We start from the raw sequence: 16861 nt of genomic DNA, 5'->3' as shown, positions 1-16861 counted from the left end.
ACAGTCTTTTAAAAACACAGCCACCAACTTAAAAAGGACTGGACAATACTTTTACCACTTGCCTTTCTCAGAATTCGGGCCTGTCCTCAGAATGCTACAAGGTACAGCCCATTTAAGCTCTTGTATAGATGCTCCTTTTTATTAGGCCCCAGTCTCATTTCAGACACCAGACCAACTTGGACTGTGCCCCAAAAAACTTGTCATCCCTACTATCTTCTGTCTAGTCATACTCCTATTCACCATTCTCAACTACCTCATACATGCCCTGCTCTTGTTTACACTGCCGTTTTACACTGTTTCTCCAAGCCACCACAGCTGATATCTCCTAGTGCTATCCCCAAACTGCCACTCTTAACTCTTGAAGCAAATAAATAATCTTTGCTGGCAGGACTATGCTGAATCTCCTTAGTCACTCTCTAATCAGATGTCCTGGGTCCTCCCAATTCTTAGACCTTTAATACCTGTTTTTCTCCTTCTCTTATTCCATTTAGTTTTTCAATTCATACAAAACCATATCCAGGCCATCACCAATAATTCTAAATGACAAACGTTTCTTCTCACAGTCCCACAATATCACTCCTTACCACAAAATCTTCCTTCAGCTTAATCTCTCCCACTCTAGGTTCCCACACCGCCCCTAATCCCGCTCGAAGCAGCCCTGAGAAACATCACCCATTATCTCTCCATACCATCCCCCAAAATTTTCCCAACACTTTACCATTATTTTGTTTTATTTTTCTTATTAATATAAGAAGACAGGAATGTCAGGCCTCTGAGCCCAAGCTAAGCCATCATATCCCCTGTGACCTGCACGTACACACCCAGATGGCCAGTTCCTGCCTTAACTGATGACATTCCACCACAAAAGAAATGAAAGTGGCCTGTTCCTGCCTTAACTGATGACATTAACTTGTGAAATTCCTTCTCCTGGCTCATCCTGGCTCAAAAGCTCCCCTACTGAGCACCTTGTGACCCTCACTCCTGCCTGCCAGGGAACAACCCCCCTTTGACTGTAATTTTCATTTACCTACCCAAATCCTATAAAACTGCCCCACCCCTATCTCCCTTCACTGACTCTCTTTTCGGACTCAGCCCGCCTGCAACCAGGTGAAATAAACAGCCTTGTTGCTCACACAAAGCCTGTTTGGTGGTCTCTTCACACAGACACGAGTGAAAATCAGCAGAGTAAAAAGACAACCCACAGAGAGGGAGAAAATATTTTCAAACTATGCCTCAGACAAAGGACTAAAATGCAGAATCTACAAGGAACTCAAACAAATAAGCAAGATAAAAACTAATAACCCCATCAAAAAGTGGGCAAAGGTCATGACTAGACAATTCTCAAAAGAAGATATACAAATGGCCAGCAAATATATGAAAACATTATCAACATCACTAATTATCAAGGAAATGAAATTAAAACCATAGTGAGATACCACCTTACTCCTGCAAGAATGGCCATAATTTAAAAATCAAAAAATAATAGATGTTGGCATGGATGTGGTGAAAAGGGAACACTTCTACACTGCTAGTGAGAATGCAAACTAGTAAAACCACTATAAAAAACAGTATGGAGGCTCCTTAAAGAATTTAAAGTAGAACTACAATTTGAACCCAGAAATTCCAGTACTGAGGTATCTACCCAAAGGAAAAGAAGTTATTTTCATGCGCGTCCTTGTGAAGAGACCACCAAACAGGCTTTATGTGAGCAGCATGGCTGTTTATTTCACCTGGGTGCAGGCGGGCTGAGTCCGAAAAGAGAGTCAGTGAAGGGAGATAAGGGTGGCGCCGTTTTATAGGATTTGGGTAGGTAAAGGAAAATTACAGTCAAAGGGGGTTTGTTCTCTGGCGGGTAGGAGTGGGGGTCGCAAGGTGCTCAGTGGGCAGGAGTGGGGGGTCACAAGGTGCTCAGTGGGGGTGTTTTTTGAGCCAGGATGAGCCAGGAAAAGGACTTTCACAAGGTAACGTCATCAATTAAGGCAAGGACCGGCCATTTACACTTCTTTTGTGGTGGAATGTCATCAGTTAAGGTGGGGCAGGGCATATTCACTTCTTTTGTGATTCTTTAGTTACTTCAGGCCATCTGGGCATATACGTGCAGATCACAGGGGATGCGATGGCTTGGCTTGGGCTCAGAGGCCTGACAGTTATTATATGAAAAGTATACCTGTACATGCATGTTGATAGCAGCACAATTCAAAATTGCAAAAATATGGAACCAACATAAATGTCCATTGGCCAATGAGTGGATAAAGAAAATGTAGTATATATACACCACGGAATACTACTCAGCCATTAAAAACATGAAATAATGACATTTTCAGCAACTTGGATGCAACTGGAAACCATTATTCCAAGTGAACTAACTCAGGAATGGAAAACCAAATATAGCACATTCTCACTTACACTGGAAACTAAGTTGTGAGACTGCAAAGGCATAGGAATGATATAATGGACTTTGGGGACTGAGGAAGAAGGATGGGAGTGGAGTGAGGGATGGGAGACTACACATTGGGTATAGTGTACACTCCCTGGGTGACAGGTGCACCAAAATCTCAGAAATTGCCATTAAAGAACTTATCCATATAACTAAAACTACCTGTTCCCCAAAAACTATTGAAATAATTTTTTTAAAAAAAAGAAATAAAAAGAATTCTAGTAGACTTCCTCTCAGAAAGCAAGCAAGAAGAGTGAAGTGAAATATTTAAATTGCTGAAAGAAATAAGCCACCTATTTAGATTTCTATATGCAGTAAAATTATTTAAACTGAAGGAAAAATACAAATGCTCAACAAATTCTCTAACGATTCTCTTAGACAAACAAAAATTAAGGACTCTATTAAACAAACAAAAACTAAGGGAATTCATTGCCAACACACCTGACCCACAAGAAATGTAAGAACAAGAAGTTATTTGGAGAGAAGGAAAATGATATAGAGTAGAAATTCAATCCATTTTTTTTAAGGAAAAGCCTTGGAAAAAGAATAAAGAAAAGTAAAATGCAATCTTTTATTTTTTTCAATCTTAACTGATATAATTTTTAAAAATTATAATAGTAGCCATGCACTGAATTATAGCATATAGATTAGTAAAATGAATGACAGCAATGACATAAACGATGGGAGGGAGGAATTGGGAATGCTCTATTATAAGTTACCTGCACCATTCATGAAGTGGTATAGTGTTACTTGAAAGTGACCTTAGATTAGTTAAACATGTATATGACAAATTCTAGCGTAACCACTACTAAAATTTATAAAGAAATGTAATTGATATGGGATATGAGAGAAAATGAAATGCTCAATTATAGCCAAAGAAGGGGAAAAAAAGATTAGAAAAAAGCAACAAAGAAATAGCACCGCATAAAGAAATAGTTACAAATATGGCAGATATTGATCCAACATAAAAACAATCACTTTGAGTGTGAATTGTCTAAATATACTAATTAAAAGATAGAAATAATTAGAGGGGAAAAAGAAAAACACCACCACGAGATTTATGAGAAATTCACTTAAATATAAAAACTCAAATACGTTAGAAGAAAAGAGATGGCAAAAAATACACCATGCTAACACTAATTTTAAAAGGGCCTATATTGATTTCAGACAAAGCCGACTTTACAATAAGAATCAAGAATAAAGAAGGGCGTTACATAAAAATAAAAAGGTTGTTTCCTCAAGAGGACACTGAACAATCTTTAATGTATATGTACCTAAACACAGAGTATCAACACTTGAAGCAAAAACTGACTAACTGCAAAAAGAAATAGATTAATCCAGTATTTTAGTTGGATACCTCTTTACCCCTCTGTAACAGGTAGATAGAACAAGCAGACAAGAAAATTAGTAAGTATACAGTTTACCTAAACAACACTCTCAGTTAACTCAATCCAGTTAACATTTACAGAATACTCCATCCAACAACAGAATATATTCTTCTCAAGCTCATGTAAAGCACTCATCAATGAATAGAAATTTATACAAAGTATATTCTCAAACCACACTGGAATCAAACTAGAAATCAATAACAAATAATAGCTTAAAAATCCTCACATATTTGGAAATTAAACAATATTTCTGTAGGTAACATTTTGGTCAAATAAGCCTCAAGTGATATTTTAAAATATGTTGAACTAAATGAAAATAAAAGTACAACTTAATAAAATGTGTGGGATGCAGCAATAGCATTACTTTGACAGAAATTAAAATGTGTATATTAGAATATATGGTACCTCTTAAATTAATAACATAAGCTTATGCTTGAGAAGACTAGCAAAGAAAGGGCAATAAGGGCAATATTAGCCTAAAGCAAATAGAACACAAAGAAATAATATAAACTTCATCAGAATTCAATAAAATTGTAAACTAAAAAATCAATAGAATAAATCACACAAAAAACAAAAGCTAGTTCTTTGAAAGATCAATAACATTGACAAATTTCCAGCCAGGTAGTCCAACCAAAAGTAAGAGAGAGAAGACACAAATTGCTGACTACAGAAGAGAAAAAGAGATCACCACTACGTACCACCTGGATGTTAAAAGAATAATAAAGAAATACTATAAACACCACTATGCCCACAAAATTTTGTAACTTAGGCAAAATAGACCACCTTTTTAAAAGATGCAAACTACTAAGATAAAGACAAGGAGAAATAAGTAACCTAAATGGCCACTATCATTAAAAATATTAAATAATTGACCTATATCATTAAATAAAATTGAGGAAATTACATGATTGGCCTATATTATTAAAGAAGTTAAATAATTAATAACCTAAGGAAAAAAAACAAAGCAGCAGACTCAGATAATTTCACTGGTAAAATCTACCAGTGAATTCTCTTTAATAAATAAATTATAGCCATTTACCAACATCTCTTCCAAAGACTCAGAGGAAACACTTCTAACTCATTCTATGGGGCTACCATCACCGAAATAATGGAACTAAATAAACATTTAACAGGAGGAAAATTGCATACCAATATCTGTTTTAATAACAGGTGCAAAACCCTCAATAAAATATTAGCAAATCTTATCCAACAATCTATAAAAGAATTATACACCACCATTATATCAGATTTATTCCAGATATACATGGCTAGTTCAATTACAAAATCACTACAGTCCACCATATCAATAGGCTCAAGAAAAAAAAATTGGTGGAGAAAAAGCATTTGAAAAAAATCTGATTTATTTATCATAAAATATCTTAGCAAATAAAAATAGAGGAGAACTTTTTCAACTTGATAAAGAATATCTACAAAAACCTTACAACTAATATTATATTTAATGGTGAGAATCTGTATGGTTTTCTCTGAAGATCATGGACAATGTAAATATATCCTCTCTCACCAGTCTTATTCAATTTATAGTGGGAGTTAGATAACAGGAAAAAATAAAAGTTATACAGATTGAGAGGAAGAAAAACAAAAACTGTTTCACCTAGCAGATAACGTGATTGTCTATGAAGAAAATCCCCCCCAAATAAACAAACCAAAAAACTCCAGGAAATAAGTTTATATAGCATGGTCACAAGATACAAGTTCAACATACAAATGTAATTGCTTTCATATAAAACAGCAGTGAATATGTGGAACTTGAGATCAATTTTTTTAAAAAGCAAAATTTACAATAAGCATTCCAAAAAAATAAAATACATGCACATTCATTAAAATATACACAGAATCTATATAGAGAAAACCATAAAATCCTGATAAAATAAATTTAACAATAAATAAATGCAGATATATTTTATATTTATGGATTGGAAGACTCAATATTCTTAAAATACCAATTTTTTACATCTTGAGCTATAGATTCAACACAATCCTAGTCAAATTCCCAGTAAGTTATTTGTAGTTTTTGAAAAATTGATTCTAAAATTAAAAGGAGAAAAAAAATCTAGAAGATCCAGCACAATATTAAGAACAAATTTGAAAACCTCACGTTACCTGACTTCATGGTTTGCTATAAAGCTATAATAATCAAGAGCATATATTATGGAATGAAATAGAAAGTCGCAATAAGACTCACATAAATATAAACTAATGTTAGACAGTACCCCCAAAAAAGGCAATTCAACAAAAGTTTCTAGTGTAAGTGGACCTATAATATGCAAAGAAAAGAATCTAGACACAGACTTGACACCTTTTACAAAAATTAACTCAAAATGTACCATACATCTAAATGTGAAATGGAAAGCGATAAAGCTTCGAGAGAATCTGGGTGACCTGGGTTTGCCAATACATTTTTATATAAATATGGTTAAAGCATGATTCACAAAGAAAATATTGATAAGTTGAACTTCAAGTAAATAAAAAATTTCTTCTCCGTGAGACAGTGGAGAGAATCAAAAAACAGGCTAAAACCTGAGAGAAAATGGTTGCAAAAGACATATCTGATAAAAGACTTATATTCCAAATAAACAGAAAACTGACACATCAACAATCAGAATACAAACATCCTAATTTGAAAGTGGGCAAAAAAATTACACAGCCACCTGGCCGAAAAAGATATAGAGTACTAAGAGCAAAAATGATGGCAAAAGTAACTCCACAGTCCCATTCATCCACAGAAACATCAAAAAATTAAGTAAAACTGTCAGAATTAATATTGTCAAAACACTAAAGAGTAGTCAAAGCTTTACAGTAATCAAGTGAATGCTGAAAGAAGAAAAAGGCAACTGTAAAGTAACAAGAAAACTTCACAGCATTTTTACCTGTCCTTACTACACTCCCCTATTCAATTCAGAGCTGATCTTGAAGATGGAAGCCCATAGTCCAAATATGAAACACTGTTCCCTGGTTATAGAGAGAGCAGATCAGAATTTGTCCTTAAAGAATTGCGTTTGTCCGTTTTGACCTATTTAAAAGCTGCCTGAAGGCCCAGCACAAGTAACATGTCTTTGTTTTCCCTTACTCAGAATTACTCAAAATAGAGTCACCCATCATTTCTCAAAAGCACATAAACAACTTGCTGCCAACTGGGGCAAAATATTACATTTGAGGCAAAAAATAAATAAATAAATAAAGTGTGTCAAAAGCCTGGAAGGAAAAGCTGAGGAGAATATTTTTGGGGGAAATTGTGACATCCAAAAGGGCAAGGCTATTTGGAAAGCCATGCATACGTGCATGCCCAGGACAGAACTCATACTCAGAAAGACTTGAGAAAACCCTACATTTTGATCTCTGGTTGATCTACAGTCAGCAGAAGCAGGAAGTGAAAGCTAAGATGGAGTTGTAAACTGGCGGCCTGGCGAAGTGTTGAAAGAGTGCTGCAGCATAGAACTAAGCGACAAAAATGGGAGTTTCCTTCCCTCACTTCGCTCCTTCCTTCCTTCTTTCCTTCCTTCCTTCCTTCCTTCCTCCCTCCCTCCTTTCCTCTCTCCCTCTCTCCCTTCCTCTCTTCTCTTCTCTTTTCTTTCTTTCTTCTTTCTTTCATTTCCTTTCTTCTTCTTCATTTTAGTTATGTCGTGTTCCTTTATTATTCAGTGAGAAATATTTTATAATCTCTCATGTGATTTTTTTTCCCATTAATATGAGTTATTCAGGTTAATTTATAAATATTTTGGAATTTACTTAATACCTTACTCTCACTGATCCCTAATTTAATACCATTGAAGACAAGAAACAAAACTTTGTATGCTTTAATCCTTGAAATTTATCAAGATAAGTTTGTGTTTTGTGTCCAACCATGTAATATATGTACAGGTAGAGTTTACCAACTCTAATACTGCTATAGTATACTAATAATATACTTGTACTATTAGAATTAGCATACTAATACTCTACTATTAGTATTAGTATATCAGTACTATTAGTATTAGCATACTAATAGTACTAGTATATCAGTACTATTAGTATTAGCATACTAATAGTACTAGTATATCAGTACTATTAGTATTAGCATACTAATAGTACTAGTATATCAGTACTATTAGTATTAGCATACTAATAGTACTAGTATATCAGCACTATTAGTATTAGCATACTAATAGTACTAGTATATCAGTACTATTAGTATTAGCATACTAATAGTACTAGTATACTAATATTGCTAGTATACTAATACTATGTAATTGTATATAATTGTACTAGTATTAGTATACCTATACTAATCCTATTATACTATTAGTATTACACATATACTATTAGTATGCTATACTAATAGTATAATGTACTAGTATAGGTATACTAATATATAGGTATACTATTATATAGGTATATTAGGTATATAGGTATACTAATATATAATATACTAATAGTATACATATAATACTAATAGTATAATAGGATTAGTATAGGTATACTAATACTAATAAAATTCTAATACTGCTATGATAATAGGTATTGTATGTATATAATACTAATAGTATAATAGGATTAGCGTAGGTATACTTTTAGTATAGTATAATAGTATTAGTATAGGAATACTAATAGTATAATAGTTTTAGTATAGGTATACTAATACTAATACAATTCCAACACTGCTATAGTATCAGAGTTGCTAACTCATATATGTGTACTTATATTCTATGGTAGGCCATAAAACACAATTCAATATAGAATTGAACAATTAAGTTAAAGGATGGTGAATAGAGGGGATCCAGTCTTCTCACTTTCGGAGTGGGAATTTACAGATAAGCAATGTGATGAGATCAGAATAATTGATGCGGTAATGGGTTACAGTTGAAGACATCAACAGACATTCATATTTAACTTATAAAGACACAGTTCCAAACACATACATATATAAAGATATTTGTATATACAAGAGTTAGCATATACTAAATATTTCCTTGCTCTGTCAGCTGAGAGGGCCTAGAAGAAATGTTACACCCCAGTAGGGACAAACAACTCACTTCACACCCAGATATTGGTTTCTAATATCATTCTCCATGAAAAATAACCAGGGCTTCTTGGACCAAAAAAAATGGCTAATACTGGGAATGCGGTAGGAAATACAGAAAGAAGGAAAAACAGGGAACACAAAAAGCAAGTGAAATACAGAAATACAGAAGAGGAGTCTGGAGTATTCTGCTTCAGAAAATAAGAAAGTGCAAAAAAGAAAGGAAAAAAGGGAACACAAAAAGCAAGTGAAACAACTTGCAATGACCAAAGTTAGAACAATTTGAACAAGAAAATATATAAAATGATATTAGATGTAACTCAAAGTTTCAATATATATCTATGAAATCATACTGATAAAAATAATTGATTGAATAAATAAGATGGGAAAGGAGGACAAATCTCAGGAGGAAAAGTGAAACTATCGACTCCTTAAGTGTGGGCTTCACATAGGGACTCTCTTCAAAAGAGTACAGAATTTAAAGTGAGAAATTAGAAGAGTAACTTTATAGTGGAGAAACCTGACAAATGTTTTCTCCTCCAGGTGATCAAGGTCAACATCAATAGAGCTAAGTCAAATTGATATTGTATGTCCTTGGTTTGATGAGATGAGAAGGGCACTTTGCCTCTATAATCTTCCTTCCAAAAACCTATAACCTGTTAAAAAACATCAGATATATCCCAATAGAGGAACATTCTGAAACATACATGACCAACACTTCTCAAAATTATCAAGATTATGAAAAACAAGGAAAGTTTAAGAAACTGTCACAACCACGAGAAGCCTTAAGGAGATATTGACAGCTAAGCATAATGTGGTGTCCTGGTTGGGGATCCTAGAACGGGATCCTTCCATTAGATAAAAATGAAGAAAATCTGAGTAAAGTATGGGCTTAATTAAACTCTTTTCACTGTAATAACTATAGCATACTAATGTAAGATATTAATAACAGGGGTAACTAAGTTTGAGATATATGCAAACACTCCATACTATCTTCACAATTTTTATGTAAATCCAAAACTGATTTATTTACCTTATTTATATTATTATTTTCATTATATTTAGAGACTGGGCCTCGCTCTCTTGCCCAGACTAGAGTGCAGTGGCAGGATCATAACTGAATGCAGCCTCAAACTCCTGGGTTTAAGCCATCCTCCTGTCTCACCCTGTTGAGTAGGTAGGACTACAGGCACGTGCCACCATGCTCAGCTAATTTTTATCATCATTTTTCTATAAAGACAGGGTCTCACTAAGTAGCCCAGGCTGGTCTCCAATTCCTGGCCTCAAGCAATCCTCCCACCTCAGCCTCCCAAATTGCTAGGATTAGAGGCATGAGCCACTGCACCCAGGCCCTAAACTGCTTTAAAAATAAAGTTCACTTTGAAAAAATATATAAGCTCCCATCCCCCTCAATAAACACAATCTCACACACACACTTTTTCCATGTGAAGGAGTGTGAAGATGGGGAGAGCTCCTCAGCACTAAGCAACAGAGGTTCTTGAGGTTCGGAAAGTATATAGAAATAGCATCTATACAAAAGATAATCATCCAATTAGTAGTTCCATGACTGGGTTGAATGGCCATCATCATGCTGTGCATGTTTAAGACTAGAGAGTGTTTATTATTAGGGTTTGTTATTTTCTACCCCCTCTCCCAGTGGTGGGCACCACAGAAGGACATAGACATTTAGAAATTCTAAACAGATATTATTCTGACCTTTATTTCTGTTCACATCCCTGCAGATACTAATGTGTTCACTTCTCCCTTGCTACTCACAATTTGGTGTTCATACAGTTCTTCTTGAGCCTGATGACACCAGAAGACTTAGGACCTATGATTAACTCAGTAAAAGAAGCCATATTCTTCATTAGTCAAGCCGAACAACTTGCATGACCTGTGATGAACCCCTGCTGCTACCACAACAGTAGCTCTGAGATATATTGATAAGATCTTTCTATAGCCCTGAATTCTTCATCCATGCCTTAAATATAGTTATTCTGCATAAATGTCTATAAAGAGAAGACTAGTTGTAAAATGCTTTTACTTGCATTTGCAATAGGTTATCTACAAATTGGCTGATGGCACCTGTCAAGTAGGCAGATGTTTTATACAACAGTAAGAGGACTTCTACTTCCAGTTAGAATTTTAAAAGTAATAATGTTGGGAGAACTATAAAGCTGGAAATAAGCTGAACAAACTACCCAACAATAAAAAAATGCAGACAGTTAAGAATGCAAAGAAATCTAAATGAGCTAATATCCAGACAGTGACAAGCCCTTTCTATAAGAAAACATATCACTACTGCATTTATTCCTGGTGAAGAACAAGAAGAAATAATTGATTGAGGACAGAATAAACCAGATAAATGTATATCAAACTTTTTGTGGCTACATGTGAGCTAATATGATGAATTAGAATCCCAAAGATCCCCAGCCACAGGGCAATATGTATTCACCTACCAATTCTCTTCATAGACTCCAGTCACTAGACTTCCTGTCTCACCAAAAGGATTTGGGGGAAACGTGATCAACAGAGTTCAGGGTTTTGAGGAAATAGACTAAAAATTCTGCACCACAACAGGAGTAGAAGGAAAGGGGAACAAAAGCTATGCTACCTCAGAAACACTTCCGAAGGTTATAGCTTGGAGACACAGGCACACTAAACAAATTCAGGAGTAGTTGGCCAAAGACTGAGTTAAAAAGGTAAAGAAACTGAGAGGACCTCCTTGAGGCAGATGGGGCCTTCCCCTAGGACAAAGCAACACCTGACTGAAGAATGGAGTTGGGACAAAATATCTGAGAGAAATTTCTATAAAAGGGTAAATCAACAGCTACAGAAAGCTGGGAGCCCACATACATAAATATATACATTTTAAAAGACTAATAACCATTTAAAACAAAATAATAAAATGAATTGTGAGGTTTCTGCATATAGAATGGTGTAATATGTGACAGGAGCAAAAAGGGAGGAAAGGGTAAATGAAACAATACTATTGAAAGGCTTATACATTTGCCATGAAGCCACATAATATTATTTAAAGGTAGATTATGATGACATAGACAGTTAATACTTTATAAAAATTACTAAAACATAAAATAGAAAACTATAGCTAATAATCCAATAGAGAGATATAGCAGTAGGTACCCCAGTATTATTGTATTTTTCCCTGTTATCTTGGGGATTCCCTATGATAAAATGAAATGCTAAAAAATGCCTGACTCTGAAAAGGAGTCAGGAAAGGAAGAACAGAGAAACAAAGAATAGACAGAACAAATGTAAAACAAATACCAAGATAGTAGACTTAAATATAAACATATCCATTATGAAATTAAATGTAAATGGACCAAATACACTAAATAAAGGGAGAGATTGTCAGATTAGATGAAAAAAACAAAACCACCTATATTTTATGTAGTACAAGAAATACTGCAGACTTCTGGTTTCAGTTTTGACATGCAAAGAGCCACTCCTATATTTAAAACTAGAAAAAGCTAGAAAAACTGAAAATCAGGGACTTTTTCGGACCCATAATAAAATTGGAGATCACAGGGCAAACTACCATCCTTCAATCCAGAAAATCAGGCACATCTGAAAAGATACAGCTGCAATCTGCCTACCTGAAGCAGAAACTACTGAAGCCAGAAACTGGCAGAAACACTTACTGGGAATTGGGATAAATTGTAGGAGGCTTATTATGGACTAGTTGGAGAGTAAGAAACTCCTAGGAGACACAGTCTTGGGGTGGAATGGGGGACAAACTTTCCTAAATTTCCTCTCCATGATTTCCACCAGTTTCTCACTTTGACAATCCACGAGAAATCCCCCCTGGTGACTGTCAGGGAAGGGCAAGAGTAGCCCTTGGGTACAATCATCACAATATTTCCCCTAATCTTTTAGGCAAAGGACTTAGCCACAGTGCAAACTTCAAACTTCAGAAGAGAATTTCTCCTCCTTATTCCAGTCACTAGACTTCCTGTCTCACCAAAGGGAGTTGGGGGAAACATGGTCAACGGAGTTCAGGGTTTCGAGGAAATAGACTGAAAATTCTGTACTAGAACAGGAGTAGGAGGAAGGGGAATAAAAGCTATGCTATTTCAGAAACACTTGTGAAGGTCATACCTTGGAGATACAGGCCCACTAAATAGCAGATTAATGAGAAGATTACAAAATTATCCCCTTCCCTTTATATTTGAGTATTATGCCAACAGGGATCCAGTGTAAAGATAGTGCATTACAGCCGAATGAGATGCAAAACAGGCTTTCTGAAAAAGAGTACATAGGGAAGCCCAAAGATAACAGGGAAAAATACAATAACGCTTGGGTATCTACTGCTGTAATCGACACTAAACACAGGCTAACTGTTAGTCAGATTAACATAAATCCTCACACTAAGGACATATTTACTTTGTTTCCACCAGCTTCTCACAGTGAGATTTCCAGAATTTCCACCAGCTTCTCACAGTGACAATCGAAGAGACATCTTCCAGGTGACCCAGGGAGGGAAGGGAAATTGTAGCCTAATGCAATATATCTGGCTTTCAACAACATTTACAAGTCCCAAAAGGGAAGTAAAAACACACTCTGGAGAAAGAAAACAATTTCATCAGAACCACACTGAGATAAGAAACAGATATGGGAATCATCAGACAGGGAATTTAAAATAACTATGATTAATATGTTAAGGGCTCTAATGCCACAAGTGTATAAGAAGCAAGAACAGATGGGTAATGTAAGCAGGGAGATGGAAACTATAAAAAAAAGAGTCAAGAGGAAATGCTAGAAATAGAAAAACACAGACACAGAATTAAAGTATGCTTTCAACGAACTCACCAAAAAACTGGACATGGCCAAGGAAAGAATCAGTGCACTTGAAAACAGAACAATAGAACACTCGCAACTGTAATGCAAAGAGAAACAAGAATAGAAAACAAAATAGAACAGGACATCTCAAAATTGTGAGACAATACCAAAAGATATAACATATATGAAATTGGAATGTCATAAAGAGAAAAGAGAAAAAGAAACATTTAAAGTAACAATGACCAAAAATTTTCTAAAATTAGTGACAGACACCAGACTGCAAATTCAGGAAGTTAGTACCAAGCAAGAGAAATACCACCCACCCCACACCAAAAAAAAAACAAAAAAAACCAAAAAACATACGCACACACAGGCATATTATATTCAAATCGTCAAAGTTCGGAAAACAAGAAACATTTTAAATATAAGGCATAGATTGAATGTAAAAGGGCACATATATATCTATTTCTATGTCTATATACACCATAAATACGGTAACCATATGAAAGTCAACATGGCTATATTATTATCAGGCAAATTAAGGAGTATAATCAGAAGTAGAGACATTTCATAATGATAAAAAGTCAAATTATTAGAGACATACTAATGTACCTAAAACAGAGTATGTGAACCTAATAACAAAGATTCAAATTCATGAAGTGAAAATATAACTAAAGAAAGAAACAGACAAGTCCATAATCGCATTGGAAGTTTTAACATGCTCCTGTCAGTAATTGACAGAACAATGAAAGAAATGCTGTTTATGATAAAGAATATTTGAAAACCACTATCAACATCCTGTACCTAATTTATATTTATAGAAAACAACACCTATCAGAATCATAATATACATTTTTTAACTGTACAAATATTATATGGTGGGCTATAAAACACATCTCAATAAATTTCAAAGGACTGAAAAATACGAAGTCTTGCTTTCTGACTACAATGGTGTTAAATTAGATTTCTAATTAAATTATATTAGAAATCAATAAGGATAAAATACAAAGAAAATGCCTCAAATAATTTCAATATTTGAAATTAAGATACTCATTTCTGAATAACTCATAGGTCAAAAAAGAAATACATAGGAAATTAGAAAATACGTTACCAAATAATAATGAAATGCAACATAGAATTAGTGGAATGGAGATAGATATGGCTATAATAAAGAGAAAGACTCCATTTTTGATGTTTCACTACTGACAGCTTACAAGCCTATCCTCCCCCTTCCTCTTTTGTCCTACATCTAGCCAAGCCAATTAAAAAGTTTACATACCTGCTTCCATGGTACTAGCAGAACATTCATATCACTGAAGCTCAGACCCATTTGCACAGGCATGAAATCTTCCCATTCCCACCTCTTAGCCATACTAAAAATTAACTCACTCTCTCTGCTTCCCTCAAGTTACCTAAACTGTCTTGAGCCTGTCCTACTTTACCCAGAAAATCCTCCTATATAGGTAATAACTCTTTTCACAGCCTACTGGTGATTGTCATGTCACCAGTCTCAACTTATCACACAGTTTTGAGTGGAGAGTTAATCTCACTTTTGGCAATCAGCCACAATCAACGGTGTCGAGTAACATATACAGCTAAAAAATACAGCTATATGGCTACACTTGAAAAGAAAATGGTCCAAGGTAATATTCAAAGCTTTTAACTCAAGAAGTTAAAAGAGTGGCAATTCCAAAATTATTAGAACAAAATGAAATGAAAAAAAATAACAGCAAGAGTAAATAAAATGGAGATACAATCAAGCAATGCCAAAAATTAGTTTCTTGTAAAAATGAAGAAAATTGATAAAAAATTAGAAAGACTGGTTAATAACAATGTGTGTGTGTGTGTGTGTGTGTGTGAGAGAGAGAGACAGAGAGAGAGACAGACAGAGAGAGAGAGAGAGAGAGAGAGAGAGAGAGAGAGAGAGAGAGACTAATAAGACTAATTCCCAATATCAGGAACAAAAGAGAGGAAATTACCAAAGATTCTACAGATATCAAAGGTGGTATTGTGGATAAAGTAATGCTAAGAATTAGACGATTTAGATAAAATAGGCAATCTCCTAGAAAATCACAATTATGAAAAGTGCACAAAAAATAGAAAATGCTAATATATCTACATCTGGAAACTTTATACACAGTTGTTAGGAACATAAATTTGTATAGCTTTTTAGACTGTCAATCTCTTATGAAGTTAAACCATCATTCACCCCATGACTCATCAATTTCACTTGTATTTATACAAGAGAAATGAAAACATATATCCAAAAGACTTATTCAAGAATATTCATAGTAGTCATTATAGCCAAATACTGGAGAAACATTTTTCTGCAACAAGTGAATGAAGATAAAATTGCTGACATTTTCTACTATAAAATATAGTATATACCCATAGCATATATATGGTTTGGTGCTATTTGGGCTTTCAAACATCTCCTGGGGGTCCTGGAATGTATCTCCTGAAGATAAGGCATGATTACTTATAACTATACTTATAAGTAGCATTACTTATTTGCATAGTAAGAAAAATCATGCTTTATCTGCAAGAGGTATATACCAAGACACGCAGAAGATGCTTGAAACCCCAAATAGCACCAAATCCTATATATACTGCTATGTTTTTTTCTTATGCATGTATACCTGTGATAAGGTTGAAATTATAAACTTAGGCACAGTAAGAGATTAACAACAATAACTAATAATAAAATAGAACACTTACAGCAATATGCCAGCATCACTACTCTTGTGCCTTGGGGCCGTTATTAAGTAAAATAAGGGTTACTTGAACAAAAGCACTATGATACCATCACAGTCCATCTGATAACCAATGATGGCCACTGAATGATTAATTGGCAAGTAGACTATGCAGCATGGACATTCCGGACCAAAGGATAATTCACATCCCAAGCAGGATGGAGTAAGATGGCACAAAATTCATCATGCTACTCAGAATGCTGTGCAACTTAGAAGTTATGAATTGTTTATTGCTGGAAAGTTTTATTTAATATTTTTAGGCTTGGTTGATTGTATGTAACTAAACCATAGAAATTGAAACCATGAGGCTGGGCGTGGTGGTTCATGCCTGTTAATTCCAGGACTTTGGAAGGCCGAGGTGGGCGGATCACCTGAGGTCGGGAGTTAGAGGCCAGCCTGACCAACATGGAGAAACCACATCTCTACTAAAAAATACAAAATTATCCGGGCGTGGTGGTGCATGTCT

General features: G+C 34.8%; 1 long non-coding RNA gene across 2 annotated transcripts in view, besides 2 other annotated features; it reads right to left on the bottom strand.

The window, feature by feature from the left end:
- Window positions 1-16861, bottom strand: part of LOC105369838 (uncharacterized) — a 122994-nt gene that overhangs the window by 39882 nt on the left and 66251 nt on the right. The window lies entirely within an intron of this gene.
- Window positions 1580-2355: an enhancer, noted in NCBI's record as "OCT4-NANOG hESC enhancer chr12:73394447-73395222 (GRCh37/hg19 assembly coordinates)". NCBI's record gives its function as "activates a minimal SCP1, AML or CMV promoter by ChIP-STARR-seq in naive and primed H9 embryonic stem cells {active_cell/tissue: H9 hESC(naive and primed)}" and the evidence as "EXISTENCE:reporter gene assay evidence [ECO:0000049][PMID:30033119]".
- Window positions 7086-7286: a silencer, noted in NCBI's record as "peak1829 fragment used in MPRA reporter construct". NCBI's record gives its function as "represses an SCP1 promoter by STARR-seq MPRAs in K562 erythroleukemia cells {active_cell/tissue: K562}" and the evidence as "EXISTENCE:reporter gene assay evidence [ECO:0000049][PMID:32103011]".

This window comes from Homo sapiens, chromosome 12 (assembly GCF_000001405.40).
Source record: "Homo sapiens chromosome 12, GRCh38.p14 Primary Assembly".
Classification (NCBI taxonomy): Eukaryota; Metazoa; Chordata; class Mammalia; order Primates; family Hominidae; genus Homo; species Homo sapiens.
The sequence above is the reverse complement of the archived record's forward strand: the minus strand, read 5'-3'. Positions and strand labels throughout refer to the sequence as shown.